The sequence below is a fragment of the Homo sapiens genome, chromosome 15, assembly GCF_000001405.40.
Source record: "Homo sapiens chromosome 15, GRCh38.p14 Primary Assembly".
Lineage (NCBI taxonomy): Eukaryota > Metazoa > Chordata > Mammalia > Primates > Hominidae > Homo > Homo sapiens.
Genome location: NC_000015.10, coordinates 33,107,643 through 33,132,255, shown reverse-complemented (window position 1 = coordinate 33,132,255; position 24,613 = coordinate 33,107,643). Strand labels below are relative to the sequence as shown.

Below are 24,613 nucleotides of genomic sequence, written 5' to 3'. Positions count from 1 at the left end.
GAAAATATTCAGCTGCTTATATTTGGTATTATTAGAATTGAGACAAGCATATTACAGCCAGGAAAGAAGGAAGAGGGGGAAGGGGAGACAAGCTGAGGACTTAGAGAGTGAGTAATGGGAATAAAGAAAGGAGGGAAAAGAAAATTCTTGACTTTCTTCCAAGCCAGCTGTGGAAGATGTTATTTTAGATCCTTTGCCTAACTGGTCTGAATGATTGCCCCAGGTGGAAAGGAAGGCAAAGGTCATTTCGGGGCACTTCCTGGGACTTGACTGCCTTTATCTTGTTCTTGTTCTCTCCTTCTTGTAGAGAGGGTCAAAGCAGGTGTGGAAAAATAATGATCCGTGCTATTCAGACTAGTATCTTTCTTTGGGGATCTTAAAATGCTTTTATCACATCTACTTAAACAGCATTTAATAGCATGGTAGAGATGTTTCACTCACTTGAGGCTGCATTGCCCTCAGAGGCCACTTACCTAGTAAGTGTTGACTACACCTTTGTACTGCACTTTTCCAGGGCTCAGACCTCCCCTCCCCATCAGTTTCCTGATGGCCTATCCTCATGGCTGCTCGGGCTGGTTGCTTTGAGGAGGTGGCCTACAGTGATATTATCTCTCTGCATGAAACTCACAGTGGGGTAGTTGTATTTTTGAAGGATATTTCCTGCAGCAAGCACTTGGTGTTGCATATTATTACGTTCACAGTTTGTGAGAGATCATGAAGAATATGCAGTGGTCTGGGCCACACTGACACACAGTGAGAAAGTATATCAATGACTAGTTATGATTAGAGATCGTTTTCAACACTTGTTTCCATCTTCAGCTGACATTTACTTGTTCAGAAAGAGAGCCATAAAAGTCAATAAAAATAATAACCATGCACATCTGCACATCCTGATTTTAATACAGCTTTTTTTTTTTTTTTTTTTTTGAGATGGAGTCTCACTCTGTCACCCAGGCTGGAGTGCAGTGGAGCGATCTCAGCTCACTGCAGCCTCTGCCTCCTGGGTTCAAGTGATTCTTCCGCCTCAGCCTCCCGAGTAGCTGGGATTACAGGTGTCCACCACCACACCTAGCTAATTTTTTGTATTTGTATTTTTTGTAATTTTTTGTATTTGGCCAGGCTGGTCTCAAATTCCTGACCTCAGGTGATCCACCTGCCTCGGCCCCCCAAAGTGCTGGGATTACAGGCATGAGCCACCGCACCCGGCCTAATACAGCTTTTTACAGTTTACAGTGCTCTTTCATAGACATTATTCTATCTGATTCTCCTACCAACTCTATGACAACCATCACAAGTATTGTTTGCTCTACAGATGTAGAAACTGAAGCCTAGAATTGAAGTAACCTTGGCTAAAGAAACACAGCTAGTAAGAAATAGAACCAAATCTCCCATCTAGTTTTTCTCAGTACAAGTTTTAAAAATTATAACAGCCCAAAAATAAAATAAATAAAATTAAATCAAAACATCTTAATAGACAAGCAAATGTAAGTGTTTTGACTCTGAAACGAATACAGACTCTAATAATATTCAGTGTGGTATTACATACATACTGGAGACTCAAATTATTTTTAAAACTAATACATAAAAACTGCTCCAAACCCTAAAACTCTGAAATTATCACTTAATGATTTGGGCTTTTGAAAATGCATATACCTATTAACAAAATTGCCTTATATCACAGCATTTTCTTGTCATCAAAATTGCTTAAAATTAATTTTAATGTTTGCACATACTCCAGTGGATGAAATCACCTTAATTTTTTAAACCTCCTTATCTCATTCTTAGGTTGCTGATCTTTGCTATAATAAACTACAGTGCAGCCCACAACTTGTCTCAATCTCTGTTGATATTTCTACATTGTTTCATAAAACTGATTCTTAACCTTAAGCATTTGAAAAATTGTCTATATATTTAGTTTTGAAGTGTGTATATTTATGTATATACATGTAGGGCAATATTTTGAGTTCTGTACAGTCTTCTGAACACAACGAATTTCTCCTCAATGACATAAATAGTTATAATAAATAATGAAAATAGAAAGAAAATGCTAGCAGGGCAATCTTAACTGGCATAAGAGGAAGGTTTTCTGAATTTGCAGGAACTTGGATCAAGAATGAAAAAATAGGCTGGGTGCTGTGGCTCATGCCTATAATCCCAGTACTTTGGAAGGCCAAGGCAGGTGGATCACGAGGTCAGGTGGATCACGAGGTGGATCACCAAGGCAGGTGGATCACGATGGATGAGACCATCCTGGCCAACATGGTGAAACCCCGTCTCTACTAAAGTACAAAAAAAATTGGCTGGGCATGTTGGCGTGTGCCTGTAGTCCCAGCTACTTGGGAGGCTGAGGTAGGGGAATGGCTTGAACCTGGGAGGTGGAGGTTGCAGTGAGCCGAGATTGTGCCACTGCACTCCAGCCTGGGCGACAGAACGAGACTCTGTCTCAAAAAAAAAAAAAAAAAAAAAAATTGCTAGTCAACTCTTTTCTGGTCAGAGGTGTGAGCCATGGAGGCAGTCTGGTTATCTTACAAAATGTCTCAGACTTGGAGTAAAGCCCTGGGTCCATATCTTGGCTCTGCCAGTGATCAGCTGTGTGACCTGAGCCACCCTCAGATTCAGTCTCCTCATCTGTAGGATTGGGGTGACACCCACGACAGTGGATGGTTGTGAGACTCATAAGGTCATGCTTATGGAGGTGTCTGGGATGGCATGCATGCCAGGAAGTGGGCATCAGCATATACCAGTTTAACCTGTCAGTTGAAAGGTATGTTAGAAATAGAAGTATTTCAACTTACCCATGTGCAGGTACTGAGAAAGCTCTCAAAGATACCCAGATTTCAACAGTGTTTTGGTAATCTTACCACGGTTATTTATACACATTGCTACACCAGCCTCAGATTTATTTCAGCTCAGTTAAGTTTAGTGATTTACCTCATTTGGAAAAGAAGTATGGCATACTATATTATTTATATTTAAAGCACATATTTATAATCTGAAATTTCTAGATTTCACTGAGTGGTTTCAATTCCTGTCCCCAAATTCTGGTAGCTAACTGCATTGTGGTATTACTTAATTGCTGTTTTCTCCGAGTTACATTGAGCTTTAAAATATTGAGAGGTGAAGCCAGCTGGGCTTCTGGGTTTTGTGGGGACTTGGAGAACTTTTCTGCCTAGCTAGAGGATTGTAAATGCACCAATCAGTGCTCTGTGTCTAGCTAGAGGATTGTAAATGCACCAATCAGCATTCTGTAAAAATGGACCAATCAGCACTCTGTAAAATGGACCAATCAGCACTCTGTAAAATGGACCAATCAGCACTCTGTAAAATGGACCAATAAGCAGGGCATGGGTGGGGCCAAATAAGGGAATAAAAGCTGGCCACGCACGCAGGCCTCTGCAGTCTGCTCCGGTTGTCTTCCGCATTGCGGAGGCTTTGTTATTTTGCTCGTGACAGTAAATCTTGCTGCTGCTCACCGTTTGGGTCCATACCACTTTTAAGGGCTTTAAAATTCACCACATCACCTTTAAGAGCTGTCACACTTACCGTGAGGGTCCGCGGGTTTATTCGTGAAGTCAGTGAGACTACAAACTCACCGGAGCATCCGGACGCACCGTCTTTAAGAGCTGTAACACTTGCCGCAAAGGTCCGCGGGTATGTTTGTGAAGTTAGACCACGAACGCATCGGAAGCAAGAAACTCCGGACTCGGTATGTGTTTACTTAACATATCACGCTGTTTCATTCTCAGTGTAATGACTCTGAGAACTTGCATGAGGCTTTTTATAAATGGACCTTGCAATGTCATAGGAATAAAAATTCTTTTAGGAGGTAGAAAGAATGATTTTGTTGATGAACAAATGGCGGGCAGTTGGAGTTCGGAGAGAGGCTGGTGAATCCTTGAGATCGTCAAGGATCAGGCCCGGAATCAGACCCCGTTGATGGTCGGGCCTAGTCAGCAGCCATGTTCAAATTCCCAACTGTTGCGCTTCTAATTATTGCTCTCTGAGGGTGTTGGAAATTATGGTCTTTGGTTGCTCGTAAGTCTGCTTTTTGCTTTTTTTCCCGGGAGCAATTTGTTTGCTTGCTTTATTTCTCCATCCTACTTCTGTTACACTCTCTACTGCTCCCATCACCATGGTGTCTCCTCTCCCTTCTTCTGGCCTCATTCTTGGTTTTCTTCTCCCATCTTTTTTGTCCTTTCTGTCACCTGACCTGTGTCGTGTCTGGGCATTCTGCTATGATTTGTCTATTTTCCCCTTCCCCCGTTGCCCTTCTGTTACCTTCCTTTCCCCTTTCTTTCCTTTCTCCTGTCCTGTTGCTGCCTCTTCTTCTATTTCCATCTGTCTCCATTTGTTGTAGAATAAAGAGAGGCATAAGATTCCTCGGAAACAGCACTGTCTCACTTCTCTCTTACCAACAGAATTTTTCAGGGAGACTGAGGAATGAGATCTTGGATGTGTGGCAAGATGTAGTTCTCTACAGACACTGCAAGTGGATGTGGCATTGGTTTCCCCTATCATTACAATATAACCTGCCTGAAACCACAGGTTCAGCATAGCTTACGTCCAAAGAGGGTTTCACAGCCCCAAGTGGAAGCTTCAGTTGGAATGGTGCTGAGTTTGATTGGAAAATACTTGTGTTTTAACTTCTGTCTTGGTTGACTAGCTTTAGGATGCTTACAGACTGGTTTCTGTTTTAAAAGGTTCACTGTTTAAAAACTTTATTCAGGTTGAGTTTAATGGAAAGTTACACTTGGGTTTCATTTAGTAAGTAATAGTTACCTATTTTTAGTGTTTTATTTACAGTTAGATGTAGGTTCACTCATTAACTCAAGGAAATAGTTGTTCTGGTCCATCCTTTGAGACTGGTAAAGTGGGTGGTCTGTGTATGAACAGAGTCAAGTTATTTAGAGGGATTTAGGGTCCAGGTTGAATGTGGAGGAGCATTAACCATGACGTTACTTATTTGACGGATTCTTGTTGTGAAGAATAAGGAGGGAGATCTGTGGTTAGGTAGTGATGATCCGACCAGTTGATTTTTCTTGAGATTATATTTTTGAGGAGAAACAGATCTGGCCTGACCTCCTCTCTGTTTGAGAGAATGTAACATGGGAAGTCTGCTACTGCTTGTTAACAGGATGCTATCTCGTTCATCACTCCCCCAACCAGCTCCTGATACAGTGCCTGGAAAACAGCAGAAAGCTTAATATGTCTTTTTGCAACATGCATCTTGCAGTTTTCTCAAACTCCCACATGTAGTCATGACAGCATCTTGCAAGCCTCTCCACAGAGTCAGCCAACCACAGTTCTTTGTCAGGAGTCACCTTACGTTTAATCAAGATGAAACGTTTATCCCACTTTGCAGTTATACAGCCACAGTTATTTATGGGTATCAGTTTTCCTTCCCAAAGTTTCAGAGCCAGAAGACTCGCCAGGAAGGCGGATCGAAAAGAGTTCGGGTTTCATGGCCCTGCAAACTGGCTGTTCCAGTAATCTGTCTTCCCTCCTTTCCCGAGTTTCTGCTCCAGCCTGCCTGTAGCGTAGATTGCTCTTTTATTGCCTTCGCTTCCTGTCTGCTGAGTTGGTCCCATTCTGGGCATGCTGCCAGGATTTGCAACTTAACACTTCCGCCCATTTCCTGCTGCTTCCTTTCTTCTTTCTGGTCTATTGAAGAATGGGCAGAAGTGCTAAGAACTTCAGCTAAATCTATGGAGTTTTTCAGTGAGTTTTGGAGGTACTCAGCGAATAAGAGGAGTAGATGTAGAGTTGGTCTGTCTTGAAAAAATTTTGGACGTTATGGGATCCACTCTGCCCTCTGCACCCACCTTCTCCTCTCACCCTCCAGAAGCTCTGGGCCTCCAGGCTCCTTTTGGTGCACACTGCGTGCTGCTCTGCTGGACTGCCTGCCCACAGTGACCTTCTGCCTCCTCTCTATTAGACTGTTGCCCATCCATGAGGGCCTGGTGCCGTACCTGCCTCACAGTGGTGTTTCCTTGATCTTTCCACCCATCTTCCTTCTCTGAAGTCTAGGAAAACTCTCTGTCTTTAGGTGGTGCTTAATAACACACCATGTCTCTAATGAGGATGTATGCTCCTCATGACCGGGGATAAACTCATTTAGTCAGCAGCTGTGGCAGCCACAGCTGCAAAAGCGTAACATTTACACAGTGCTTTATCACCTGCAAAGCCCTTTCATCCACCTTATCTGTTTTTCACAACTGCACTGTGAGTTTGGTATTACTGTTATCTCATGTGTAGATTTAGAAGCCACTTTCCTAACTTAGTGACTTACTGCACAAAAAAGCCTTCAACCGTGAATTGTTAGAGATGGTTTTTAGAAAGAAATTTGGCACTTTTCAATAGGCTATAGCCAATCAGTCATGCTTGAGAAGTTAAACATTTAGAGATTTAGTATTACTGATGAAGCACATTCTTGATGAACTACATGAAAATAGGAAGGGCTCAGTCACTAAAACAGTGGGAGTTTTTACCAAAATTTCACCATACAAAGTTGGCCATTTAACAGACTTCATTCTTAATTTTTTTTTTTTTTTGAGACACCTGACTAATTTTTGTATTTTAGTAGAGACGAGGTTTCACCATGTTGACCAGGCTAGTCTTGAATTCCTGACCTCAAGTGATCTGCCCGCCTTGGCCTTCCGAAGTGCTGGGATTACAGGTGTGAGACACCATGCCCCACCTATTCTGAATTTTTTTAAGCTGTAATTTAGATATCCAAATTTGAGAAGGGTTCATTTGAAGACCAGACATAACTAATTTGTATAACCCCATTAGATATTTCCTTTAAATAATCTTCTACACATATTGTCTTAGTGCACTGGTACATCTAGGAAGAGTCTACCTTTCTTCAACTAGAACTAACCTTCAAGACTGAATTTTAAAAGGAAACTATTTTCCTAAATGATGATTGCTAACATTTCTTGACGGCTTACTATGCATCAGAAGCTTTCTATGTATTATCTCTAAACTTTACAAGAGTCTTTGAGAGAGGTTATTTCCTCCATTTTATGGAAGACAAAAATTAGGTGACCTTCTTAAGCTGAGTAAGTGATTCACAGTAAGTGATGGATCAGGGATTCAAACTCTGCATTCTACCGCATCATTTGGCCTCCCTAGATGTAATGTTCTAAGGCATTATGTTATTTCACAGAGAGGGGCTGGTGGAAAAACTCAGTCGCTTTAAATTGTTTAAGCATTCCATGATAGAGTAGACATGGATGCGAGAAGGGATTTTATACATTCCAGGAATATAACTTCATTTGAATTGCCTCTGATTTCAAAGAAATCAAAACCTCAGTGGAGGGGAGTGGCACATAGTATCTTTAACATTTGCCCTTGTGCCAAACAAGGCTCTATGATTTGTTTCCCGTTCCAAATTAAAAAAAAAAATGCAGAAAAATGAAAAGCATTTTTTTCATCTAGTATTGAATTGATCCCATGCAAAAAAGAAAACAAAATCCAAAATTAAGGAGCACAAAGGAGTGCTATTTAGTGTCTGATTTGTGAGATTTCCTCCCTCTCCTTCCAGACTTTGTGGATCAGTTTCTGAAAATGAAAGGAATAATCTCAGATATTTTTATTGAAAAGAACACAGATTATTAGATACCAAATACATTCTAGAAGATTAATGCAATATTTGTATATGCTGATGGTGAAGACCAAGGGCTTTCCTACTCCGATGACTCAACCCTGGCTACACATTAGGATCACTTTGGGAGAGCTTTAAAGCAATCCCAATGCTCAGTCCCAAGCAGTAATTTAAGAAGGTCATGCAGCTGCCGCCTCTGCTGAATGGCAGGGCCATGGGAAGCTTTACTGATAAAGGCACAAAATGGCAAGGGGGGTGAAATGTACAGAGGGTCCTACTCATTGATCAGAAGTAGCCCGGAGAGGCTATAACAGCACAGCAAGACGCTGACCAGACCCCCTTCTCACTTTTATGTCTCAGAACTTTTCTACAGTGAATGTCAATGTGTTTTTTTCCTCCACATAACATCTGTTTCCTTTTTGTCTTTAACATCACCTCACTTTTCTTTTGAAAAGCCACGTCTCACCCTTTGCACTCTGCATGGTTAGGATGAAGCTGATCTATTGGATCTAGAGATGATCCTCAACCCAGGACTGAATGATAATTCACGTCACCTGGTCACTGTGATCTGTTTATGGACGGGCACATTTTCTAAGTTATACTCTAGAGAGTAGTTCCCCAGTCCTTTGCTGGAATAGTTGGGACACTGTCTTAGTAGCTATGGTTACTGAGCTGGAAGAATCTAATTGTGAAGTTGTAATGATTATCTTTGATACCATGAGGGGAGAACAGAATCGAGAGATGTAGAGAGATTCCTTATATCATTTGAGCTCCATGCCTGTAATCCTGGACTTTTTGGTTATATGAACAAATTCTATTCTGCCTAAGCCAGTTTAGTTGGATTTCTGCCACTTGTAATACAAGAAGTTCTAACTAAGAAACTTTACGTAGTGGAGCCAAAAGGCCAAATGGAGGAAGCAATGTGCTGATGTTGGAGTGAGGAATTCATGGAAGGGACGTTCATGTCTTGGAAAACTTAATCTGTGTTAAAACATGCATTCTATAAAATAGCTAGCTGTTTGATCAACAACCCTCACTATATAACCTGTACCCCCATACCATATGTTAGACTTAATTTTTCCTCAATATTCTTGGTTTTAGGGTGAAATAGATTCTAGGCCTTGTATTTATCTTTTGAGGACATATTTATTACTTAATATGCTATGATACTACTTTGGGGAACTATTGCCACAGATAGTGAGTCTTAGCTTAGTGCCATGTATTCATTCAACAAACATTGTTTGAACCAAGTCTGTATACTATATAGTGCAGTAGGCTTTGAATGCCAGATTCAGGAGTATTTACCTAATTCAGTAGATGGTGAAAAGCTATGGAAGGCCTTTGAGCAAAGGAGTGACATGACCCCAGTTTTGATTTGGAAAGATTAAGCAGCAGAGTGGACAGAAATAAGTTAGAAAAAGGAAGGCCAGTTGGTGATCCCCAGTTGATGGGGACTTGAATTGGGCCTGGAAATAAGTGGATGGATGTGAAAACATTGCGCAAATAGATCCACAAGGCTTGACGATATGACGTTGAAAGAAAGGCATTCTAGATGATTCTACAATTTGGGCTTTAGTTATAAGGATGTGGAGATGCTGTAAACCTATTTAGTTGTGTGAACATGGTCAGATTACTTAACCTCTCTCGGCCTGTCTTTTTATTTGTGACATTAATTACCTAGCAGGATATTGTTAGGCCATGTATATATAAAGCATTTAGCTCACTGCCTGGCACATAGTACATGCTGCATAGATGTTGGTTTGCTTTATCAAGATTGGATAGCCTATACTATGTCAATCTCTTTCTATTCCTATATATAAGAAATATTCCAGTTCCCTCTTCTTTCAGATTATGTAACAGAATAATGGCAGCAATCTGTTGCCGTGGTCAATCTTTGTTGACACACATCATTAGCTTTTTGAAGGAGCAAACCTGGAGTAGGATAGGCCAGCATGTGCCAATTTAGTGTTCCTAGATTTGACACAAACTCCAAGTTTTCTCTCTCACATTGTACCTGTCACTAGTGGCCATTAGATTTTATTACTGCTGCATTAGCTAGTGGTACTGTTTAGAAGGTGATGTCAGAATATTGGCCTGGTTGTTTATCCTGTTGCATTTTAAATACTTGGGACATCTAGAAGGTATACATGAAATGTACTGTGGGCTGAGCAGTAAAAGGATGAGCCAATGTGTACTGTCTAAAGCCAATACTAATTTTATAAAACCTACTCTGACCTACCTTACTTTCCCACCAGGCATGTACTTTTTGGGAGAAAATTGTTTAATACATGCCTGGGTTAAAAAATTTTCTTCTTTTAAAGCACAATTACATGGTTACTTGAATTTGCGGAACACAACAACGTTTTACGGAGTAGAAACACAAAATTGGAATATGACAAGAATAAATAAGACTTAGCTTATTCACTTTTTTTGGTGACTATAGGTCAGAGTTTTCAATCTTTTAGGTTTCACCTAAGAACATTGCACTTAATTCCGTGGACAAGGGATAATTTGTTTCACTGTGTAGTTAACTGTAAAAGTTCCCAGGCCCTTTCCTGCACTTCCAGAGTAGTATTCTTTATTTGTCTGTTCTTTGTCTATTGGCCTGACTGTATTGTGCTCCTTGAAAGTAGAGATCGTGTCCTCTTCATATTGTTTGCTTGCAGTACACTTTTGGTAAATGAATAAATGAATTAATTGGTAACACAATGAGAGAGACCTAATTAAGTTCTAGATTTTTCTTATTGTGGCTCTAAGTCTACTGCTTTCTTTTTGTTTTCAAATTCCTAAAATTCAAACAAACAGAAAAACAAAAATTTGGCCGGGTGTGGTGGCTCACGCCTATAATCCTAGCACTTTGGGAGGCTGAGGCAGGCGGATCACTTGAGGGGTCAGGAGATTGAGACCATCCTGGCCAACATGGTGAAATCTTGTCTCTACTAAACATACAAAAAGAAGCTGGGCATGGTGGCTGACACCTGTAATCCCAGCTACTCAGGAGGCTGAGGCACGAGAATCAGTTGAACCCGGGAGGTGGAGGTTGCAGTGAGCCAAGATTGCGCCACTGCACTCTACCCTGGCGACAGAGCAAGACTATCTAAAAAACAAAACAAACAAAACAAAACCAACTTGTCAACTATGTACTTTACTGGGAAATGGTGTAATAGACAAATGATTTCTACCTTTGTATCATATAGAACTACATGTAATACTGGAAATGAGGGAATGAGTTTCTCCCTTTGTGCTCTCAATTTATAGACAGTCCAGAACATTGTAAACAATATTGACACTGGCATTGAATGTGACCCTGAATCCGCCATGTGGTCTGAGGGAGCAGAGGTACAAAGTAATTGGTCATTGTGGTATTGAAACTCAGAATCAGGCATATGATGAAGTTTTATTTGCAGAATACTTTTTGTTTCAAGACACAGGACCCACTGCTCTATTGATAAAAGGCAAGAGTTTAATTTTTTGTTGTTGTTGATCTAAGTCCTTGGAGAAAGTAGACTGTAAATCATAGATGGGGTATTGTATACTCTTGTTACAACATCATCTAGCCAACCTTTCATCTGTCCCATGTGGAAGGTTCTCCAGTTTACATTTTTGGGTTATATGAATGAAGGCAGAGTACTATCCTATAATTAAGACTAAAACCTCTATCAAGAAGCAATGGGAGGAAAAGAGGTGAATTTACTTTGCATCCAAGATGATGGGCTTACTGTACTATAAGTAGTTCAGTGTATAGTGCAACAGGTATATTTTCAGAAGAAAGAGTCCTGGAGAGCTTGTAAAAAAATGGAAAGTAGATTCAAAAGAAATACTTTTAAAAATACATAAACATGCAAGAATGTTCATAGGATTAAAAAAACCAAATGTGCAGTAAAAGGGTAATAGGTAGAATAAATTTTTCCATATCTTATATATATGTCTGTAAAATGGGTATGTAGTCACTTAAAAGAATGATGTAGATATATATGAACTGACACACCAATGATCCAGGAATACCAGAACACGAAAAGACAACAAAAGCTGCCGAACAGTATCTTGGTATCACTACGTGTGTGTTCGTATATCCCCACATAAAAAAATAGTAATCTCTGGGGTTGGCGACATGAGGTTTTCTCATTTTTTGGATTATACAATTCCTTGTTGCTGGAATGTCCACCAATAAACATGCACTAGATGGCTAACTTTGAACATGTCTTCCCTGCCGGTGTGTAGGAAAAGTGCAGTAGCTAACCACTCTGTAAACACTATGGGCACAACTGGTAACCTAATCCATTGACCTGGAAGATGATGATGGCCCTTGGAAAGGGTCAGCAAGGAGAATAAAGTGACTGGAGTTAGCACATCTGCTATCTTTAGCAGGGTGTGCCAAGTTTTGTAAACAAATTATTTTGTAATTGCCTTATGTTTAATGTTCTTCAAAGCCGTAGAGCAAAAGAACAGATTATTTCTGAGAAGTGAAAAACAATTTTCATTTCACTATGCTGCTCTCCATTGGTCACTTGGGTATGTCCTTGGAAATAGATGTCAGAGTCCTGAATCAAACTGTGCCTTTAACTAACATTGTAACCTCAAATTGAGTCATTTAATTGCTAATCTCTTAGTTTCCCCACCTGTTAAAATTGATAATAATAATCCTTACCATCGCATTCCTGAATGAGGTGTTGTGACGCTTAATAAGATCATGTTTGCAAAACGCTTTGAGCTCTTTAGATAGAAGACACAATATAAACACAAAGTCTCATTAAGATAATTATACAGTGATTTTTCATAGTTTACATGCAAGGCTAAACCTAGTGATGGGGAGGTCATTTTATGAGAGCAAAGAAGAAGACTGGCTTTCAAAATCTGAAAATGAAATTCCTAACACATTTTAAAGACGAATATAGTACAAACAGTTTTTAGAATATGAGAGCTTAGTTTTGAGAGATGATTCAAAAAAATGAAAAAATTTTTGGAAGTTTTGTGTTTAACTGAAAACATCTTTTGTAAAACAGAGTGATCACTTCTATCCCTTGAAAGAGAAAGAAAATAAAAGCAAGCTCTTCAAGAATAGTGCTGGTTTTTTACAGAAAGTTTTATCATTAATAGGGCTATAAAGTGGCGAAACCTGTCTGGCCCACTGAGCGTACGGACGGTGGACTCATTAATGCTTGGCAGAGTCTCCTCCTGGGTGGCACTGTAGCAGTTGCTCTTGCGATGGAGCAGGGGAGGCACATCCCCCACATTCTCCTTCCTCCCAGGCTGTCCTGAGAATCTATCATGTTTACCACAGGCTCCCCACCCTTTGGCACCATGGGTGCCTGCTACCACTGTAGCCCAAGATATGGACAGTCCATTTCAGTTCCCAGGATTTGGAAGTGCCGGCACAGGAGGTCGGTAACCCCAGAGGAAGGTAAGCTTGAAAACAGAAGCCTGTTCTCTGGGTTGCAGGTGGAGAGAGAAGGGTGTTCATTGAACATAGAGATGAATCTAACTAGATCATCAGAATAGAAGTTTCTCTCTACTTAGTGTTTTTAGCTTTCTAGTTTTTATGGGCTGAACTATGAAGAATTCTAGCTGAAAAGTCATTGTTTTGTCGCATAAGTTGATTCAGATGTCCTCCAGTTGATACCTGCAGGGGTGCTGATCTCCAATTTTTTAAATTATACCATCTGAATATTAGCATTTTCATTCAATTATGTTGAACAAAACTAAGAATTTATGTGTCTAATTTTTTTTTTTTTTGTAAAGGAAGGTTTACGGCCAATCTTTTTTTATAGACATTATTTTCTTCATAAAGACTTTGGAGTATGAATGTGACTAGAAATTGTTTGAAATTTAAAGATTTTATACCATTCTTTAAAGATAGGTTGATGTAATAAAATGCTGTATCAATATCAAGAAATACTTAATCTAGATTATTTAACCAAAATAGGTGAAAATATTTGTATCTAATATTTCATATGGAAATTGTTTAAATCATGCTTTTTGTATTTAATATTTAATATGAGCATTATTAGGATGTGAGAGGAAGAGATTTTCTGATTTCTTGTTTCCTACAGGAACTGTCCCTCATTCCTGTCAAACAAGTTTCACTTGATTCTTATCAACAAGTTTATACTGAAATTAGAAAAATTACCTAGGAAAAATAAATTATGTAAAGGTAATTAATTTCAGCATTAAGGGAGAAATTGACATTTTTTACTTTCCTATTTCTCTGTTTGCTGGTGCTTATTTGAAGCCATGATCTCCATTTTTCTGGTTTGTTCTAATCATTTAGATGGACTTCTTAGTATGCCCCTGAGAATTTTTGTGTTTGGACAATCATCAACTGTTCCAAGGGTACCAAATGGACTGGATGTTAAACTATAAGGAAAGTTATTAATATAACAAATGAGAAAATCTCTTACGATATAATTGCTTGGTTGGAACTAGCAACTAAAACAGAAAAAGCTAGTTTCCCATGGAGGATGTTAGGCAGTGAATTATATAAGTTTAGGTTTGCAAACTACATTTTGTGGTGTATTGGCATTCCATAGAGATACATGCACATGTATTTACATTTTCTCAGAATTCATGTGATTTCTTCTTGTGGAAAGTCAGAAGCAGTTTTAGAAAATTTTTGCAAATTCACAACACACTATATCATTATTTTGATGCAAAAGTCTTTGCAAATTAACAACAATTTTCTTTCTAGGAACACGAAAAACAGTATTATTTCTCTTCCGTACTGCCACTCCATCACCCATAACCTAAACTAGATGAAGAACAGGCATTTGAATGCGAGGTCAATCTGAACTTTATTCTTAGTTCAAACACTAATTTGCTACATGGTCCTGAGTATGCTTCATAACCATTGTTTGCTCTAGTGGTTCTTCCTTTGAGGCAATATTAATCTTTGTGTTCCTTCTGTCTCATCAAGAGAGTACAAATGTTGTTTGCTAGATAATAGTTAATCTCTAGTAAATGTGGGTGAAGCACAGTTCAGAAATTAATGTTTATTTATTGGAATCACTGCAAAACATTTGTTAAATATCTCATTCCACGTATCTATAAATTTTGATCCCTGAAGTGGACTCCGTAAGTTTATTGAGGTGCAAGGAGCAAACATTCAGCTTAATCCGTAGTTCAGATTTTCCAAAAGCATATTAAGGTTAAATTACTTGTGTGGGGAAAAAGATGTTCAAGAGCATATGCCAGTTAAATAAGAAAACGCCGAGAAATGAATGCTACCTTGTCAATCTCTCAGCCCCTGTGTATTTCTCAGAATGCCAGTAATCAAAATGCAGCTATGGTTTCGATGCTTTCAAGATTTTAGATTACTCTTAAGGAGATGTGGAATTTCTGCATTGTCTTCTTTATGGCAGGACATTACAAATACTTTCGTTGTTATTGCCAGAATCTGAGGGCGTATAACTTCCAGCAGTGGCACCCTGGATTTGTTTTCTCTCTCTCTCTTTTGGAGTAGGGGTTGGGGACTCCGTGAGAGTTGTTAGAGGGGAGTAATTTCTCCAAACTAGATCCTCCATTGTTCTTAAGCTCTCACTATGTAAGTGATTTACCTGGATCTGAGGCTAACTTTATTTCAAATAGGATATTTCTCAGTCTCTGCAGGATCGTCCATAGCTCCTCTGAAATTTGGGTCAGTGCCACACTTAATTGGTTGTGGTAATGATAGGAATAGTGGTAGTGTTGTATTGGTGGAAACAATAGTAATAATAAGCATTTATTGAGTGCTGTAAAACGTGTTTCAAGTACTTCGTTTTCTTTAATCCTCAACAAACTTTCGAAAGATCTCTGTTATTTCCATTTTCTCTATGAAGGACCTGCCCAAAGTCAGATGGATAGTAACCTTCCTGAATTCAAGGCCTATACTTTGTCGACTATTTCTCATGAGGGAAAAAAAAGCCATATCTAGTATTATTTGTTTTCGCATCTTATAATCATGTTTGGGCTTCAATATGAATTTCCTCTCTACAACTGCTTTATCACAGGCAGTTTTGCTGGAAGAGGCTGGAATGGAGTGCCAAATAATGAGCAGAAATAATTTAAGCCTGGGAGGTGTTAAAAAATTAAAAAAAAAACTTTCGACAAACTAAATTTAACAGAATTTAATTGAGCAAAGAACGATTCTTGAATCAGCCCCCAGAACAAGAATAGGCTTAGAATGACTTCAGGGCTGCCGCATGGTCGGATAACATTTATAGACAGAAAACGGAAATGAGGCATAGAAACAGCTGGATTGGCTACAGCTGGGCGTTTGCCTTATTTGAACACGGTTTGAACAGTTGGCTGCCTCGGATTTGTTGCAACTTGGCTGCTGTGATTTTCCAAAGCTTGTCCTTGGATGAAGCACAGATTAATGTGAACCAAGGATACTTTAAAAGAGTTTTATAAACAGGTATAAAGGAAAGTAGAACATTATGCTTCCTAGACTAGGTCAATCCCAGTGAAAAAGTTAGTCTACGTTTACATCTTTTTTCTGTATAAATGGGGATTTAAGTAACTACTAATAAGGCTAAGGAAAACCATAGTACTATCCAAATGCCAGGGACATAGCTAAAACTCAGGAATGTCTTTTTATAGTTGGATCTCTATAGTCTTTCTGGATATACCTTTAAGGTGAGTGATTACAGTCCCCATTCACCCTAAGAAAATTCTTTAATTCAGCCCAGCCCAAAGCTACCTGAGAAACTTACTATTATTGCAAGCAGGTGTGTGAGAGAATCTAGTTGAAATGAATAATGATGCAAATGGATTTGCTGGTTGGAGTAAAGGTGGTGGAGAATTCCTCTCATTGGAAGCTGCTAAGGTTAATAAAATCTCATGACCACAAAGAGTTAAGAGTCAAGCCATAAGGTGGAAAGGGAACTTCTAAGTGGTAACTGAAAGTCTGGCCAGAAATAGCAACATGGGAGCGGAGCATAGGTTTAGGGATATGAGAGGCAGGAAGGGTGAGGAAGAACAGGTTTAGAGGAAACAGGCAAGAATTTCCAGACAATTACCTGATGCAGGTGCTGTGCACAGCTGGATTTCAGGTGCTCAGTGTATTGTGGTTGTGGAAGAATTATTTGAATGTAAAAGATAGGAGAGGTGGGGGAGGGTGTATGTGAGGGAGGCTGGCAAGACAGCAAGTTTGTGTGTGTGCGTGTGTGTGTGGGGGGGGGGGGCTTAAGGATGAAATCCAGTTTCCTTAGCAAGGCTGTACACAAGGACCTCAACCTGAGCCTTGCCTACCTCTTTCATAAGCAACCCACATACCAGTCCGTTGAAAATATGCCATCTTCTTACACATACATTCTTTTATGTGTACATGTTTCTTCTGATTTGACTCGTTAGATTTTATTCATCCTTCAAGTATTATTTCCCATGAGAAGTGTCCCATTGTGACTCCTAGCCTCCCACCCTCCTTATAGGACAGCCTTAGGCAACTCTGCTCTTTATTTCTTAAGTACTCTCCTTTTAACACTTAAATTCTAAGAATTTATTTAGTTCTTCATTTTCCCCATGGGAGACTGGACTCCTTGAAGGCAAGGGCCTTGTCTTAGTTATCTTTGTATCATATGATTCCGTGCCTGGCATAGTGGGTGCTTAATCAGCATTTTGACTGATTGATAGATGAAGTCTTGAGGACTCTATAAAATCAATACATGGATCATATATTGAATGAAGGATCAGTGCAGGTCAGTTTATCTTCTGAGGCCTGCCCAGCCACCAGACCCCTAAACTTTTCAGTTAGCTGGCTGGACAGTAACGTAGAGATGCTTGCATCTTTTCAAACATGGATAGGCAAAATAAGGGAGGGGAAAAAAGTTAATTTCCAGAAGTCAAAGATCTTAAATTTTATCAGCTAAAGTAGGATTATTTCTATTCCTTTAATGATAGTTCTGTAGTTGTTTTGGGGCATTTGGGTCATGCTACCTGTCAGGTGATGAGAAATATGGAGTTTATAGTTTAGGAGACATTACAGCAGTTGTGACTATTTACCCACAGGCTCTCTCCAAAAGAAGGTGCATTGTTGGTCATGTGGCAGGGGAAGGAAATCCTAAGTGCTTTTGTCATGAGACGAGGAGAGACTCGCGTTTGCGTGGTGTTCTTGGGTACACAAACAAGCGACTGGATGATTCAAATGATTGGATCGACAATGACTTGTTTCTGAAACGGAACAGATGTGACAGACAGGCTTCCGGAATCCACTGGCCACACATTCCATGTTCAACACTTATGCAGATTCTTTGCAAAATATTCATATTTTTATCATTTCTGCATATATTTATGTTTAGGTCTAAATGTTCAGGCAGCCAGAGGCCAATTATTTCTTCTTATGTCACTGTCCAGAAGTTAGGCTTTTAGGATGCTATACTTTAGAGTCCTGAGCTGCTTCATTCCTCGTCCTTGGACAAGCAAGGACTTGTAGAAATAATAACCCATAGGCCTGGCCTAGGAGGCCATGTGGTGCCTCCTGTCCAATCTTGCAGCACATTGAGATATAAAGGGCAGGCACTAGCAGTAGTGTCCTATAGGACCTTGACGGCAGAACAGGCTCAGAGGGAAACCGGGCTGACAATTCTGAACAGAGCTGCTCCAAGAGAAGGTGTTGGGTAGGAAACCAGCTTACAAGATCTTGGAGAACTGCCAAGGGGAGGAGGCTTGACTTGGACCTTAGATAACTGAGCCTAGAGCAATTCCTGAGCTAAGGAGCAGGTAGGTGGCTAAGGATCTGGTTTCCCACACTTGTGGGTGAAAACATCGTTAAGGCTAATTAAAGGAACAGTAGAAGCAGTTTCCAGTCAGGGTTTCATTGTTAAAGAAGGCTCTGTTTTGAAGTGTGCTGGTACCTCAGGGGCCTCAGCTGTAAGACCGTCTGGAAGGAGTCACAGATGAAAGAACTGACGTGGCCATGGAAGCTGGCTCTGAGGTGGAGCACCAGGAATCCAATGCACAGTGTTCAACGTGGGGCCCCTGTCTAGAAGGGGGAGAAGTAACAGAAGGTGGGTGGTGGTACTATTTAAATTGGGGTATGAGGTGGGCTGTAGAGGAAGGTGCCTCCGTATACTGACACTGGATGATTTTTGTGTTTTCTGTAGGAGCGCAGGTATTGACTAAAGATGGGGGAGCAGGGTCGTACTTCATGGAGGAGCAAACTGTTGTTGGAAAAAAGAGGCTGCATAATTGTCTATATCGTACCCTATGTTCACATCTATGTTACATAAACAGTATAAGACAACAACAAAAATTTTGTAAAGAAAGAAAGGCTGGAATGAAATCACTGAACTATTAATTGAAAAAAATAAGCTTATATAGTTTAAAACAATAGATAATTCAAATTTTGTAGTGGACCTACGTTACAAATACATGGCAACACTCATCCTGTTTAATTACTTCACTGAAGTTGTTTGAATTCATGTCAAGGAGCCCACTGACCTTTAGGTAAGAATATGTCAGAAAGTGAGCAACCCCCTAACAAATGATCACACAGTACACAGGTCAAGCTTTGGCCACAAAGCATCCAAATTACACCAATAAATGCAGATATTTGAAACAGCATATTGAGAGGTAGATATGCCTTGGGGGTGTTAAACACTTTGGTTGTACTTTAGATATAAGTATTTTGTTCTTTTGTTCCGCCACACTGAGGCATTGTGAAGAAAATAGAGAAGACACTGTTGTCAAAGCACCTAACAGCGAAGGTTCTCTTAGACTTTCCCTGCCTTCCCCTTTGTCCCAGTACACCAGGACTGCCTAGGGCAGCTGTAACCTGGAGGCTTAACCTTTCTGACGATATAAACCCAGTAGCTGTGTAGGCCTTGACATTTGGATAACTCTGCTGCAAATGCCCTTCATTTCTTGCCATTTACCCACACCACTTCCTAGCAACCCACATTTCCCATGTGATCTCTAGCAGAACAGGGAAAATATCCTAAAATTCTGTTGATTGGGCAGCCGTGACTGTTATCACGTACTCAACAAGTAGTGGTGAAAAAATACACCAGATGTACAAGTAGAATATAGGCCAGTCAGTTGATGAGCTGGAATTTTTGTAACCACCTTCTTGCCTCTAATATCTTTGGAGTGTTTTTATGATAGGGGTTAAACTAAGCACTAGTGCCTGAAATTCTTTGCTGCAGGTACCGAATGCTCTTAGGTTCGGCATCTCTAGGGAACCTTTTAATTTCATTGCATAGTTGTGCTTAGTACTTGTTTAATGGAGCAATAACAGTTCCTCTTTTCTTAATTAAAAGAATTATGTAAGAAAACTAGTACAGAACAACAAAATCTTCTATAATCCAACCACCTCAACTCTTCATAGAGATAGGTGTTTTTAAATAACAAAGGTCATGGAAACAAAATTATATAAAAATATTTTGTTTTATGCACTGCCACCTAACATTATTTCAAACTTCTAATGTTTATATACCATCTCTTTAATTATACCTTTATAATTTTAAGGGGTAACATTTTATCATGTAGATGACTATGGTACTAAATCCATTATTAGACATTTAAATTGTTTCCAAGTTGAAACCAATAAAAATGCTGTGGTTAAAATCTTTATTTATATAGCTTTTTGTTTTCATAGACATGAAATTGTAAAAAGATACAAAAACTTTGTTAACACTACAGTTCTTTCCAAAAAATTACAGTAAAATGTGATACAACCAATTCATATAAAATGGTAACTTGAGTCTTTTTAAAAACAGCTTTATTAAGATATAATACACATGCCATATAATTCACTCATTTAAAATGTACAATTCAGTGGTTTCTAATATATTCAGTTGTACAACCATCATCAAAATCAACTTTATAACATTTTCATCACCTCCCCCAAAACCCCCATACCATCAGAAGTCACTCACCATTTTCCCACAACCCCGTCCAGCCCAAGTTATCACTGAGCTTCTTTCTGCCTCCGTAGATTTGCCTGTTCTGGAAATTTCATGTAAGTGGTATCATGCAATATTGTGGTCTTTGTGACTGGCCACATCTACTTAGCATGTTTTTGAGATTTTTTTATAGGCAAAAGATACTCCTTCATATGGATATAGCACATTTTGTTTATCCATTCATAAGTAGACAAACATTTGAGTTATTTCCACCTTTTGGCTATTATGCGTAATGCTACGAACATTTGTGTACAAGTTTTTGTGTGGACATGTGCTTTTATATTTCTTGGATTTATTTCTAGGAGTGAAATTGCTGAGTTGTATTCTAATTCTTGATTTAACCTTTTGAGGAAATGCCAAGACTGTTTTCTGGAGCTGCTGTACCATTTTAGGCTCCCACCAGCAATCTTGTGAGAGTCCCAACTTCTTCACAGCCTCATGAACACTTGTTGTTATCTGCCTTTTTAATTATAGCCATCCCAGTGAAGTGGTATCCTACTGAGGTTTCGATTTGCATTTCAAAGGATCCTTTAAGTTTTTTTATTTTTTAAATTAACTTGTGTAGGGTTGAAAGCATTTTACAATGTACATTTTAAAAATCAGTGTGATTTATAGAGGGCATGTGCAAAGCACCATGGAAAACACACAAATGAATCATCTCATAGATTGTGAGGGAAATGGAAATATGCCATGAGAAATGAATGTAAGGTCAGGAATAGCATACCATAAAAATGTAAAACTAACATTTGAATGGCAGTTTATAATTCCATAGCACTTTTTCACATGTGTTAACTCATTTACTCGGAATAATTATCATAATTGCTGTACAAAGGCATCTTGAAAAATGTAAAGGAGTTGTTTTTAGAACTTCTTTAAGGTTAGTAAAAATATACTGCATGCCAAGACATTAAAAATTGTTTTAATGTGGGAAAATTTTAATGGACTAAAAATACTGACAAGTTGTTCTTATTTTTGTTTTAATAACAGAGAAAATGGCTAAAGGAATAGCAAAATAGTTTTAATTGGGATTTAATATTGCATTTTTAAATAAAAGACTGTTAGTCATCAAAATGCTTTAATGATCTGTGTTTATATAAATTTAATCTGAATATAATCAAATATTAAAAAGAAAAAGAAGCGTCAATGTGAGGGGCGGGGGGACGTGTTTTACTGATATTATTTGAGATGCATGACAGAATAGCTATTCTCAAAAAATGCTCTCCTTGGTTAATACAGAATTTTACCTTTTTGTTACAAAACTATTATATGGCCATTATAGAAAAATATAGAAGATTCATAAGGATACGAAAAAAACCTTCCATTATCACCACCCATAGAAAAATTACTGCTAAAATTTACATTTATTTCCAGTCTTTTTACTGTACTTTAAAAAATTTCCTGAACTTGATACATAACCTTTTGGTTCCACATGTTATAAGCATTTCCTGTGTTTTTTAACTTTTCATAAATATTGTTTCAGTTATTGTGAACAATTCTGCAAAGAGAATAGACCATCTATGTATTATTTACCTAATTCTGGACACTTTACTTGCTTATGGTTTTTTAGTGTCCTAATAATCTGACAGGTATTTTTGCATAGAATGTTTGCATTTTAGAGAATTTGTTTATGGTAGATTCCTAGGAGAAGCGTTATATTGTCAAAAGTATGACAATTATCAGTTATTTTAATATTTATTACCAAATTGTTTCTCCAAATTTTATTCAATATACTTTTTGCCTGAAGAGTATTCGTGCACTTACCCATTTATGTATTCAATAAATATTTAATGGGAACTTGCTGTGTCCAGTTGCTAGGTGAAGTGCTGGTGCTAACTTAAACATCCATGGGCACTGTCTTACTTTTTTAGGTTTTTAAGGTTTTAGACTTCCTGATTTACAGTGAAATGTTCTTTGAGCTTGCATTTTTTTTTTTTAACTTTCATTTTAGATTTGGGGATACATGTAAAGATTTGTTACATAGGTAAACGTGTCATGGGGGGTTGTTGTACATATTATTTCATCACCCAGGTATTAGGCCCAGTATCGAATATTGTTTCTGTTTCTCTCCCTCCTCTCATGCTCCCCCATTAAGTATGCCCCAGTATTTGTTTCCTTCTTTGTGTTCATAAGTTCTTACCATGTAGCTCTTGCTTATAAGTGAGAACACGCAGTATTTGATTTTCTGTTCCTGCCTTAGTTTGCTAAGGATAGTAGCCTCCAGCTCCATCCATGTTCCCACAAAAGACATGATTTCATTCTTTTTTATGGCTGTGTAGTATTCCATGGTGTTATATATACCACATTTTCTTTATCCAATCTGTCATCGATTGACATTAGGTTGATTCCCTGTCTTTGCTATTGTGAATAGTGCTCGCATTTCATTTGGCTTGCAATTCTTTTAGCTATTACTAATGGTGTTTAAAATTTCCCCATACTCATTGGTTGTTTATTTTTATTTTCCCTTTGGCCATTTATCTATTAATGTTTTGACAAAAGTAAGGAAACTATAGTGGATTTCTATGTTGTTTTTGTACAGGAACCTCAAAAACCTTACTTGCATTTTAGAACAAAGACATTCGTTAATTTAATAAAATATTTTAGTTTGTTACTAAACCAAGTATCCATCTTTGTCTTGAATAGAGTCTAGCACACTCTAGACCAAGTATGTTTTATGCCTTCCTTGCTTTTGGGAGAAGAAATAGGTTATAAATGGTAAAGTTATGACAAGTTTGCTAGGTTGTTTAGTTTATTCTTGGGTTAATTGTAGGCATGGGGACATTTTTAGTATTAGACTGGATAACTCCTTCTCTGTCCTGGTAACTGATTGATTGTCTGAAGGATTCATATTGGGAGGCAGAGTGGTAATCAATATTGTAGGCTGAGGTCACTGACAGAGGCCAAAGACAACAATGTGTGAAATTTAGGATGAATTGCTTTTTGGGTTTTATCTGGATTTACTAAGACAGGGGAGTTGTTTGGGCAAATGTTGCCTCTTGAAGGTCTCTTTGAAGTGACCATCTAATGAATCAAGGAAAAGGCAATTAAATCCCTCTTGGTGAGAACATCAAAAGAGGAATAGGATATAGTTACACATCAGGAGCCAAGGGCTATCAGTTGACCTTTCTTAAGAGTGGGGAGAGGAATTTGAATGATTGGGTAGTTTTCATTATATAGTAGCCTTTTAAAAAATCCTTTAACTTTCTTCTTTTTTTCTCTTTAAGTTCAGTTTCTCCAGGCCTCTTGTTGTTTAATAGCAGAGTTAGAGAATTATGTTATCTACCTTGCAATCTAATAACTTAAGCTGTTTTTTCTTGGAGGGCAAGGAGAGTAAAATAATACTATTTTGAATGTATTTTCTCTTCTTATGTGCCATTATCTCCTTTCCCTACTCATGGGAGTAAGAGACATGTAGATAGAAGATTCACACCCACTGATTGTTGCAGCATGTCCTTTAGCTTTATGTTTTTCCCCCTCCATCAAAACTTTTACCAAAGCAGTGTTTAGTTGTCTGATTGAGTTTCATATCTTTTCTTTTTTCTAGTTAAGCCAATGAAGATGCCAGTAAGAACTGCCAAAAAATGAGTAGGCAAGAAAACAGAGAGGGCTTAGTCAAAGGATGGTAAAAACATGACACACACACACCCCACCACCATCCATCCTGTGCCAGGGAAGGCATTGCTCTCCCAGAGAAATCACGAGACTCTTTCTTACTGGAGCTGAACCTGGCACAGAATTCTTGCCAGTGTTGAATTCTAGTCCCTCACTCCCAATAACACGGCATCCAAACTGAAACCTTTGTTATTTTCATGATAGAAGATCTGCAAACACACCTCTGTGGCTTCCAGAGTTAACTGTAATAAATAAGGGGCCAGCATGAAAAATAAAAAATATACTAGCATTTACATTTTATTTAAATGTCTTCAAAGAGGGATCATCATAGTACCACCTATATACAGAAGAAAACCAGATCTGATATCTTGCATTGCTAGAGTTGATTTTGAGACTCATTCATTATTTAGTTTCAGGTAATGATAAGTACGATGGGTAAAATACTAGAGAGCTTGTTGGCAAAAAGGCAGTGACAAGAAAGCCTTTCTGCTCGAAGGATATTTGAGCATGAACTTGAACTTGA

At 38.6% G+C, this 24,613-nt stretch overlaps 1 protein-coding gene across 12 annotated transcripts in view; it reads left to right on the top strand.

The window, feature by feature from the left end:
- FMN1 (formin 1) overlaps window positions 1–24,613 on the top strand; it is a 429,171-nt gene that overhangs the window by 62,459 nt on the left and 342,099 nt on the right. The window contains exon 1 of one of the 12 annotated variants that reach the window (XM_017022132.3): window positions 12,796–13,007. The exons of 10 other annotated variants lie outside the window; for them this stretch is intronic. In XM_017022132.3, the coding sequence (XP_016877621.1) occupies window positions 12,875–13,007 (133 nt within the window). In that variant the 5' untranslated portion in view covers window positions 12,796–12,874. Of the gene's footprint in view, window positions 1–12,795; window positions 13,008–18,113; window positions 18,586–24,613 lie in introns of those variants that run through there. One more of the 12 variants, XM_011521511.4, reaches the window with a different exon arrangement.